Raw genomic sequence first — 11630 nt, forward strand, 5'->3', positions numbered from 1 at the left:
AGCATAGCTTTAGTTGTTTTTTGTTGTTGTTATTTTATTAGCACTTTTGGAAACCTCGGTTCTTACTAGGCTTTGTGATACTTTTCTTACAGTTTCGTACCAATGTTGCGTATTCATAATTAGCTGTCTTCTTTTGTATGTATACTTTTAAAAATCCGAGCTTCCAAGAAAAATTGAGTTGGTTTCTTTAACTGTTTTCCCATCTCTTTAGGACTGTTTATGATTATATAATCAGAATTTCATTTCCTTAATCTCCCATCTCTCTTGTACTGTGTTGACACTCAGAGGCTTTTTTTGAGATTATACCTAACTTTTGAGTTGAGCATTCTGAGATCTTTTCAGATGAAGGGACATGTCTTATTAGGCTTAGGATTTTCTTCCTTTGCCATTAAGAATTCCAAGGAAGCATTTCATTCTTGACTGGAATTATGTTTAAATAATTCCTTTTATATTTCCTCTGCAGGCCAGAAGTTTATTTGCTTATTTTATTTTCAGTACTTAAACCCTCTTAGCAGCCCAGTGGTCACATAGGTTGCCTAGTAAACTAAACATTCAATAACTTAAGCCAGGAATTCTTAGCCCCAGCTAAACTGCTCAAGATTAGGCTGAGCATGGTGGCTCACACCTGTAATCCCAGCACTTCGGGAGGTTGAGGCAGGAGGATCACTTGAGCCCAAAATTTCAAGACTAGCCTGGGCAACATGGCAAAACCCCATCTCTACAAAAAGTAACAAAAATTAGCCGGGCTTGGTGGCACATGCCTGTGGTCCCAGCTACTTGGGAGGCTGAGGTGTATCACCTAAGTCCAGAAGATCAAGGCTGCAGCAAGCCATGATCGCGCCTCCGCACTCTAGCTTGGGTGACAGAGTGAGACCCTATTTCAAAAAAAGATTATACAAACTATCAACGGCAAACCCCAGGATGAAATCTTGGGTCTAATAGGACACAGGCTTCAGGCTTTTGGTGTTTTTTTGTGGGGTTTTTTTGTTTTCTTTCTTTCTTTCTTTTTTTTTTTTTTTTTTGAGACAGCAGGGTCTCACTGTCTCGCTGGGTGGACTGCAGTGGCACATAGCCACAGCTCACTGTAGGCTTGACGCCCTAAGCTCAAGCGATCCTTCCTCCTCAGACTCTCAAGTAGCTAGGACTACAGGTGCATACCACCACACCTGGCTAATTTTTAACATTTTTTTTTTTTGTAGCGATGTGGTCTCACTATGTTGCCCAGGCAGGTCGTGAACTCCTAGTCTCAAGCAGTCCTCCCTCCTCAGCTTCCCAAAGTGCTGGGATTACAGGCATGAGCCACCACACCCAGCCAGTATTCTATTCTTGAGTTGAACTGAATTTCTACTCCACATAAGTGAGTTATGACATAGGTAAATGTAAAAACAAAAGTATTACTTCAGTGATAATTCTTTTAAAAGGATATTTACTTTTGTGATTTTAGAAGTCTGAATTCCCTTTTTTTTTTTTTTTTTGGTCAAGTATAAACTTTGGTTTGTCAGGAGTACATACCTATTCAAGCTAGCTTAAGTAGTGGAATTTATTAGAAGTGTACGAGGTGTGCAGCTTTGGTTAGCATACTGGGTGACACTGGGCTTGCACCACTGCTTAAAGACACAGGTGTAAATTTAAGCCATTAAATTTTTATGGCTTTTTACATGACATGCACACAAACCCAAAAGATTATTTTTAAAAACATGCACACACATGTACCTACACATACATACACACATATATAAATAAAATAGGTCTTGAAGAACAGAAAATGTAACACAGCAGGCCATGTAAACACTAAAATAGGAACTTAAAAGTCAATACCTAAGGTCAGGGTTGACACAGTCTCAACTCTACTTCTCTCTGTTACCAGTAGGTTTCTTCTCTTCCCACATGACCAAACATAGCTGCCCCAGCTAAACTCTAACCTTCTAGTGCAAGTGTTATCTCATGTGACATATATATATATATATATATATTTTTTTTTTTTTTTAAATAGAGACAGGGTCTAGTCATGTTGCCCAGGCTGATCTTGATCTCCTGGGCTCAATGAATCCTCCCACCTCGGCCTGCCACAGTGCTGGGATTACAGGCATGAGCCACCGCACCCAACCATTTTTTTTAATATCTTAATTTAAATTATTGAAAGAGACAGTATAAAAAGCCCAGTATGTATACAAGACCCAACATCTTTGAGTACACTGAAATTAATATACCTGCCTTTCAGAAGAGGATGACTAAAGAAGGGACTGAGCAAAATACCAGATTTACCTACTGCAGTCTTTAGATGAATACAGTATACATTCTTGTTTTAAAATATGCCCCCTTAATGGTCATAGAGGATAGAATGACTTCTTACTTTAGCCTTGCCAAAAGCTAGATAATCAGTTGGCAGCCTCTAAGCCATGCTCCACTTTGATGTTCAGAGTGACTAACAACACCCTGAACAATTGTCAAATCATATGCAAACTGAGAAATCCTTACCCAGAGGCTGGCAAGCAGGTCCAGACAGCCGTGGACTTCTCCTTCTCACTACTTACTCCTTATCCTGTGTTTACCTCTAGCACTTTTAATCAATGACTGGGTTTACAATACTGTGCATAGAATTGGTTTTATTTCTATTTTTTTTTTCAGTAATGTATCTTCACACCTAAATAAAGTTAACCCTCCTCTCCATAAAATTGGGATGAAATTAGGTTACTTTATACTTAAGACTTGTAAGTTGGGTTTTTTCCTTCTCTTTAGTAAAATGAAGCACAGATAAGAAATTAATCTTTTCTAAGGTTCACACTAGTGTTTTATTTTTATGCTTTTCTCCTCCTCTTCTGTTTTTTTCTCTTCTCCTCCCACTCCTCCCTAACTCTTCTTAAATGTAAAACATGTATTTCTCAGTGTTAATTGCTCAGTAACTAGAGTCTTGTATCTCCTAGTTTTTATTAGTCATAAGGAGAATACTTTTAATCTAGTTTGGCTTTCTTGAAATGTAAATTCCAAATTACAAGTTTTACCAGCATATTTACTATTACAAATTTTAGTCCTAAGTAGTTCTAATTGTATATTGTTCCAGTAGTGGCTAACTTGGAGTTGTATTTGTTGTGTCATATGAGGAAATTATGTAAAGGACATTAAACTACTATTCAAATATTAGTAGTTACTTAAGAACTAAGGATAACCCAGATACTTTCTCTCTCACATATATCCTGAATTAATCCCTTCATATTCCAAGAAAAATTTATTGAGTCATCTACATTAATATTTAATGTTCCCCTTCCTCCAAAGAGCAAAACAGGAACCAAAAAATTCATACCCGAGGCCAGGTGCGGTGGCTCATGCTTGTAATCCTAGTACTTTGGGAGGCCAAGGCAGGCAGATCACTTGAGCTCAGGAGTTTGAGGCTAGCCTGGGCAACATGGTGAGACCCCATCTCTACCAAAAAAGCAAAAAATTAGCTGGGCTTTGTGACGCATGCCTTTCGTCCCAGCTACTCGAGAGGCTGAGGTGGGAGGATTGCATGAGCCCAGGAGGCAGATGTTGTGGGGAACCAAGATTGCACCACTGCACTCCAGCCTGGGTGACAGAGTAAGACCCTGTCTCCAAAAAAAAAAAAAAAAAAAAAATTCATAGGCAAAATGTCAAATGACATTTACAGAATAATATACTACAGAATCCAGTTTGAAACATATTTATTTGGTTAAGTCAAGTTGAAAAGGACAACAGAACAGTTTACTATCTCTATAAATCTGTAAGTGTATAAGTAACTTGAGAGTGAGTAACCTATATCAAAACAAAGAACAAGGCCATGAGAACCTAAGGAATGTATTACAGTGAATTCTGAATGAAAGAAAATAGGGTGTTTTATCTCAGAGAGACAAATAAATAGAAAATCCAGAGTTCAGGTTATACCATAATTCCTTATAAGAAAAAGTGGTAAGAAGGAACTTGACACCTAATAATAGGGAACAAGTAGGTTCCAGGTACCACCTTTGAAAAACAGGAAGATACTGGATACTAAAATAAATCAAGGGCCAGGCATGGTGGCTCACACCTATAACCCCAGCACTTTGGGAGGCCGAGGTGGGTGGATCACTTGAGGTCAAGAGTTTGAGACCAGCCTGGCCCACATGGCAAAACCCTGTCTGTACTAAAAATACAAAAATTAGCTGGATGTGGTGGCACATGCCTGTAATCCCAGCTACTTGGGAGGCTAAGGCACAAGAATTGCTTGAAGCTGGGAAGCAGAGGTTGCAGTGAGCTGAGGTCATGCCACTGCACTCCAGCCTGGGCAATAGATTGAAACTCACTCTCTCTCAAAAAAAAAAGATTTCTAAATAAATTATAGTATATCCTTTTACCTGTTAGACTCTGAAATCCAAAAGCATCAAGATCCACCTGATTGATGAAACTCTGTGAAAACAGGCACTCTCATTTATTGCTGAAGAAACTGACACTATGGAGAACAATTTGGCAATATTAATGAAATAACTAACCCATTTGCCTTGTGACCTAGCACTCCCACTTCTGGGAATATGTTCTGCAACAGTATCTAACAGTATCTTTACGTGTATGAAATTGTTATTAATAGATTCATAATTTTATAGCAAAGATTATTACAATAAAATTACTTATTAAAAGATCACTGTATAAGTTTACTGTATACGTTCTAAAAGATCACTGTGTAAGTTAACTAGTCCATTATTGTGGTCTAGCCTATACTACATGTTATGGAAAATTGTCCATTATTGCAGGCTAGGTAATTAAATTGTGGACTTACGCAAAGGATTACTATACAGTCGGAGAAAGGATGAGGAAGCTCCATATCTGCACATCCAGTATGGTAGCCACTAGCTGCATGTGGCTGTTTAAATCTGAATTAATCAAAATTAGATAAAATGTAAAAATTCAGTTCTTTGGTCGTGCTAGCTACATTTAAAAGTGCTCAGTAACCACATGTGCCCACTGGCTACCATATCGGACAGCACAGGTATAGACCATTTCTATCAATGGAGGAAGTTTTTTTGGATGGCACTGCTTTATATAGTGTATTAGTCCGTTTTCACGCTGCTGATAAAGACATACCCAAGACCAGGCAATTTACAAAAGAAGGAGGTTTAATGGACTTACCAGTTCCACATGGCTGGAGAGGCCTCACACTCATGGCAGAAGGCAAGCAAGAGCAAGTCACATCTTACATAGATGGTGACAGGCAAAGAGCTTGTGCAGGGAAACTCCCCCTTACGTTACCATCAGATCTCGTGAGACTTATTCACTATCACGAGAACAGCACGGGAAAGACCTGCACCCATGATTCAATTACCTCCCACCAGGTCCCTCCCACAACACGTCGGAATTCAAGATGAGATTTGGGTAGGGACACAGCCAAACCATATCATAGAGCAAATACAACGCATCTCTAAAATACCTGTATTATAATACATAACAGACACCTAAAGATAGAAAATTCTATGTAAAACAAAACTCAGATTATTTGTGAAAGTTTAAAACTTGATTTCCAAACAAAAGGAAGCTTTTCACGGATTTTTTTTTTTTTAAGACAGGATCTCACTCTGTCACCCAGGCTGGAGTGCAATGGTGTGATCATGATTCACTGTAGCCTCAACCTCCCGAGTCCAAGTGATCATCCCACCTCAGCCCCCGAAGTAGCTGGAACTACAGGCATGCACCACCATACCTTACTAATTTTTTTTACTTTTTGTAGGGATGAGGTTTCACTGTGTTGCCCAGGCTGATCTTGAGCTCCTGAGCTCAAGCAGTCCTTCCGTCTTGGCCTCTCAAAGTGCTGGGATTACAGTTGTGAGCCATCACACCCTGCCGACTTTTTTTTTTATTTTATTAATAACCACCCCATTTTCTCCTATCAGTTTGCCATTTTTTCAGATGTATCAATATGATTGTGAGGTAGATTACATATTATGGAAAGAATTAAGTTGGTACTATTGTTGAAGGCAAACAGTATAAAGGATTCTTGATGAATTAATAAGTTTTCAGCCAGCCTTTGTTTTTTTGCATGCAAAGAGCTTGATCTCAGCATGCCTGAAGAAGTAACCTTCTTCAGTGCTTTATTGATTCATGCTCTAAATGAACTCTAAATTTGCTAGGTGCTATGAAATACCTAACAGAAAGTTACAGCTGTAATCACAACTTCCTGGAATATTCTGAAATTAGGTATAAGGCAGACCTGGTGCGTGCCTATACCAGCTATTTGGGAAGCTGAGGCAGGAGGATCACTTGGGGACAAGAGTTCAAGGCTGCTCTGTGCTGTGATCACACCTGTGAATGGCCACTGCACTCCAGCCTGGGCAACATAGGAAGACCCCATCTCCGAGAAAAGTTTTAAAAATAGATATAATCTTTGTATGGCTGTAGAACATCTTAAAATGTGTATCTTAGAGTCTGGCTTATTTTAATATTGTCTAAGAAGGTAGAAAATAATCATAGTTTTTTTAAAATGAGGAATTGAACTATAAATTTGAGATACTAATGAATAATTTATTTTAACAGAACAACAGAAAATAAGGAAATTCTCTCTCTTGAAGATAAAGTTGTAGACTTTAGAGAAAAAGACTCATCTTCGAATTTATCTTACCAAAGTCATGACTGCTCTGGTGCTTGTCTGATGAAAATGCCACTGAACTTGAAGGGAGAAAACCCTCTGCAGCTGCCAATCAAATGTCACTTCCAAAGACGACATGCAAAGACAAACTCTCATTCTTCAGCACTCCACGTGAGTTATAAAACCCCTTGTGGAAGGAGTCTACGAAACGTGGAGGAAGTTTTTCGTTACCTGCTTGAGACAGAGTGTAACTTTTTATTTACAGATAACTTTTCTTTCAATACCTATGTTCAGTTGGCTCGGAATTACCCAAAGCAAAAAGAAGTTGTTTCTGATGTGGATATTAGCAATGGAGTGGAATCAGTGCCCATTTCTTTCTGTAATGAAATTGACAGTAGAAAGCTCCCACAGTTTAAGTACAGAAAGACTGTGTGGCCTCGAGCATATAATCTAACCAACTTTTCCAGCATGTTTACTGATTCCTGTGACTGCTCTGAGGGCTGCATAGACATGTGAGTAGAAAAACATGGCGTTTCAAAAAAATCTTCTGAATGTAAGGACGCTTGTTAAGAAGTCTTGCTATGTATTAATTTGTCTATCTAAAACCTGTTCAAGAGTTACAGTAAGACTGGGCGTGGTGGCCCACGTGTGTAATCCCAGCACTTTTGGGAGACCGAGTGGGAGGCCAGCTTGAGCAAAGGAGTTTGAGAACAGCCTGGGCAACATGGCAAAACCCCATCTTAACAAAAAATTTAAAAATTAGCTGGGTATGGTGGTGTGCATCTATAGTCCCAGCTACTCTGGAGGCTGGGGTGGGAGATCTGCTTGAGCCCAGGAGGTCAAGGATGCAGTGAGCTGTGATCACACACTGTACCAGAGGCCTGGACAACAAAGCAAGACCCTGTCTCCAAAAAATAAAAATAAAAATAAAAGAGTCTACAATGGGAAAATGAACTCTGTCACTAGCAGTAGGAAAAAAAACCTCTAATTATTTGCCAAATATGGTAATTTGAAACATTTCTTCCAAGAATGCATATTTCCTTTAATCTAGTACTAATACATTAAAAGATAATCAATGGCATTACAACAAATGATATTTAACAGTGCCAGACACTGTGACAAGTACTTCACATTCATTCTCTTAATCTTCACAAAAACCCATGAGGTATAGGTAATATCTCAGTGTTATACATGAGGAAGTTGAGCCTCAGAGAAGTCAATTTGGAGAGGTCATAGAACAAATTGTAGAGACAGGATTTGAACCCATGTTCTTAACCATTGGGTTATATGTTGCATTTTACTTTTAAAAATCATTTGCTGGCTAATGTGATGCTTATAACTAGTATTTTCTTAATCATAGAATAGTATTAACATCCCATGAAAAAATGAAAACATGTTCTAATATATTAAGACTTTGAAAAACATTTTAAGGGTGTGTAGTACACATACATTCGTAGGTATACAGATGTAGAGTGGTGTTGCATTATATGTACTTTTAATTTAATGCAAATTTAGCTACCCATACTTGGCAAAAAAAGAATAAGAGAATGATAAATAATTTAAATAGTATAATAATAGTTTTCACCATCCTCTAAGTTAATTGGAGTGTAAAATGAGAGCTATATCTACTGTTACCTCAGTTTGGCTCAGTTCCTTGAGGCCTCTCATAGAGGAAACCTCTCACTGTGCTGTTTTATTCTGTTTAAAAATATGTATTTTATTTTGTAAAGATTACCTCTAAATGTAACCCAACTACCTCATCTGGGGACTTGGCTCTTCAAAGGAATAGAAACAGGTACCTGCACAAGACTAGGAACTAGGCCAGTATCTCACAGGGCCTGGAATTGTATTAATGAAAACCTTGTTAACAGCTGTAAAACCAATGGGGTCAGAGCCAAAGCGTTGGAGAAAGCACCCAATGTAGAGCAGCACACAGGACTAAACCCCACAGAAGGTATGATTTCAAACAAACATTTACAGCACACAAAGATGTTTAGGACCATGAAGGCAGCATGAGTCCCGACAAGTAGAGAGAATTAACACCTGAGGAATCAGAGGTAAATGTTGAATCTAATTGAAAGGGATTTTAAAACAGGTATAATTAAACTGTCCCAAGAGGCTGGGCACAGTGGCTCATACCTGTAATCCTAGCACTTTGGGAAGCTGAGGTAGGAACATCATTTGAGCCCAGGAGTTCGAGACCAGCCTGAGCAACCTAGCGAAACCCCATCTCTACAAAAATACAAAAGTTAGCGTGGCGTGGTGGGACGCCCTTGTAGTCCCAGCTAGTCGGGAGTCTGAGGTGGGAGGATCACCTGAGTGCAGGGAGGTCGAGGCTGCAGTGAGCCAAGATTGCGCCACTGCACTCCAGCCTGGGCAACAGAGTGAGACCCCTTCTCAAAAAAGAAAAACTATGAATTGTATATGAAGTGAGCAATACCTAATCCAGTAGAAAAGTTAAAAGGAATTAACTAGATTTGTATATAGCATGGATGGGTCTCAAAAACATTATATTGAACAACAAAAAAAGCAAGTTATAGAATAATACCTATAGTAAATTTTTTATAATGAAAAATACACAATATATTGTTTGTAGATACATGTGTATATAAAAGCATAAAGGATGCCACACTAAATCTCTTGAGAGTTTAGTTATATCTATGTTTTACTTTTTAACTTTTTTTAAGAAGACCATATATATGTGGTGTATATGTGGTGTGTATATTTTGAATTATATATACAGGGAAGAGAACTAGACAAAATGCTGACAACTAATTCTGGATGGTGGAAATATGGGTGTTTATTATTATCTGTATTTTTCTGTACTTTTTAAACTTTGCACACAAAATCACATGGGAAAGAACAATTATAGATTTTCATATCTGTAAACAGAATCCAAATTAATGAATTTGTTGATTGTTGTCGTTGTTCTTTTCTCTTGCAAACAGCAGCCACCATTCTGATGTGTATTAATTAATACAGAAAATACAGAAGAGAATCATAGAGGAAAAGACCTTAAAGTCACTTGTTCAGCAAAGGAGACTAAGATCCAGAGATTTTAACCAGCTCACCAGCAGTCATTTACCTAGTTACACAGCTAGAGTCCCCAAGTTCCTTACTTTGTATCAAATTATGGTTCCCTATCAAGTTAGTTAGTCATCTGAATAGAGGGGAAAGTACATGAAGTTTTATGGTTGCAAGCTTCCTGCCTCGCAACAGTATGAAAAAAGGATTCAATAATAGTAGGCAGATACCCGGCATCAATCTCCCCAGTCTGTTTCTGTCACTGGAGTGAGAGAGAACTTAAGACATCTGCAAAACTATGTCCTTACAAATTTGACATATTTAAGTTTATCCATTGTAAAAGAGCAGAACTAGCAGAATTCTCACAAACAAGCTTCTGTGCTGAACAGGGAAATTAAAGGAATTGATTTTGGAAAGCTAAACTCATATAGTTAAGTATTTCATGAGCAAATAGAGTTGCAGTGCAGTTTATAATTATTTATAAACTTTTGGGAGGTATTGTCTTTCAAAGAGATCTATTTAGGGAAAAAGCTGATAGTGTTCATGAGCCAAACTATTCTAAATGCTATTACATCTTTTATTACATCATTTACACATTTATCAAGACAGTCTCTTGACTTGACTTGCTGCTTTTTCATTCTTTCTCCATCCATTGCCTGCCTTTTAGAACAAAATGTGCATGTCTTCAACTGACAGCAAGGAATGCCAAAACTTCCCCCTTGTCAAGTGACAAAATAACCACTGGATATAAATATAAAAGACTACAGAGACAGATTCCTACTGGGTAAGGTACCTTGAGGATTTGTTGCAGGGTGTGTATATCTTTGAAGGTGGGTACTTTTTATTGTGGTCCAAAATCTTATAGATGTTAAATCTGGTTTAATTTGGTTCTAATACCAAAAATCTAAATTATTAAGGAATAAAAATCCTGTGTATTGTTCGTGGAAATGGTAGTCAGAGACCACACATACATCATGCAGAGTGTACTTGAACACTCATCTGCTTTGAGTCTGGCTCTTACCCCTCTAGTATCAGCCTACTTTGGGCAGCCATTTCTCCGTTTAAAAATAACTGTCTAGAACTCATTTGAGAATTGGGAATTTTCAACCTTTCAAGGTACTGACTCACTTAATCTTCACAAAGCAGCCCTATGAGGGAGGTATTGTCATATAATCCCCATTTTAAAAATGTGAAGATAAAGCACAGAAAAGTTAAATAACTCATCCAAGATAATACAGCTAGTAAATGTGGAAGCTGTGATGGGAACCCAGGCACTCTACCTCTAAGAGCTTTCACATTTAGCCTGCTTCCCTCAGTAGTTATCAGTGTCAGTGAAGTGTCAATAAACTGCTTTTTGAGATGTCTGATTTTCTCTTTTGCATATTTTGTTGACAGCATTTATGAATGCAGCCTTTTGTGCAAATGTAATCGACAATTGTGTCAAAACCGAGTTGTCCAACATGGTCCTCAAGTGAGGTTACAGGTGTTCAAAACTGAGCAGAAGGGATGGGGTGTACGCTGTCTAGATGACATTGACAGAGGGACATTTGTTTGCATTTATTCAGGTAAAGCAAAAGTTTATTTTCAAATTATTCTAGAGTAGAATCCACTTTTCTAAATATCCATTTTCCTAGCCAGGGCTGTTGAGAGCTTACAGCAAGGTAAAGAGTAACAGTATCTAAGAGGAACATCAGAGAAAGGCAGGTAAACTGGGAACTTGAGCACTAAAGAGATGAGATGCTTAGGAGGTACTTTCTTCAAGAAAAGAAAGGTTCAGAGATGACACTTGGGTTTTTGTGTGAGGGCCTGTTACGTACAAGGCACATTTGTTTTGTCTGCATGGCTACAGGTACTTTGGGGTAAGGGAATAAAACTTGTTAAAAGTAAAAAAAAAAACTAAATGACTGGCTTGCCAAGGTAAAGATGACCAGTCAAAAACTTTCTTATTCAATGTTTTGAGCTATTATTAGAATTTAACAAGTTAATTATGTAATATCTGCATGTTATAATTCAGTCAGTGACTTTAGGCAACTCACTCTAT

The 11630-nt window shown here is 38.1% G+C and overlaps 2 protein-coding genes across 12 annotated transcripts in view; both read left to right on the forward strand.

The window, feature by feature from the left end:
* SETDB2-PHF11 (SETDB2-PHF11 readthrough) overlaps positions 1–11630 on the forward strand; it is an 84703-nt gene that overhangs the window by 25689 nt on the left and 47384 nt on the right. For both annotated transcript variants that reach the window (NR_135324.2, NM_001320727.2), the window contains exons 6-8: positions 6514–7077; positions 10257–10373; positions 10985–11154. Coding sequence is in view for 1 of the 2 variants with exons in the window: in NM_001320727.2 (NP_001307656.1) it covers positions 6514–7077; positions 10257–10373; positions 10985–11154 (851 nt within the window). In the remaining variant the exon portion in view is untranslated. The remainder of the gene's footprint in view (positions 1–6513; positions 7078–10256; positions 10374–10984; positions 11155–11630) is intronic.
* The window catches only part of SETDB2 (SET domain bifurcated histone lysine methyltransferase 2), a 50730-nt gene that overhangs the window by 25689 nt on the left and 13411 nt on the right, over positions 1–11630 (forward strand). For all 10 annotated transcript variants that reach the window (NR_172062.1, NM_031915.3, NM_001160308.3 and 7 more), the window contains 3 exons: positions 6514–7077; positions 10257–10373; positions 10985–11154. Coding sequence is in view for 9 of the 10 variants with exons in the window: in NM_031915.3 (NP_114121.2) it covers positions 6514–7077; positions 10257–10373; positions 10985–11154 (851 nt within the window). In the remaining variant the exon portion in view is untranslated. The remainder of the gene's footprint in view (positions 1–6513; positions 7078–10256; positions 10374–10984; positions 11155–11630) is intronic.

This window comes from Homo sapiens, chromosome 13, assembly GCF_000001405.40.
Source record: "Homo sapiens chromosome 13, GRCh38.p14 Primary Assembly".
NCBI lineage: Eukaryota > Metazoa > Chordata > Mammalia > Primates > Hominidae > Homo > Homo sapiens.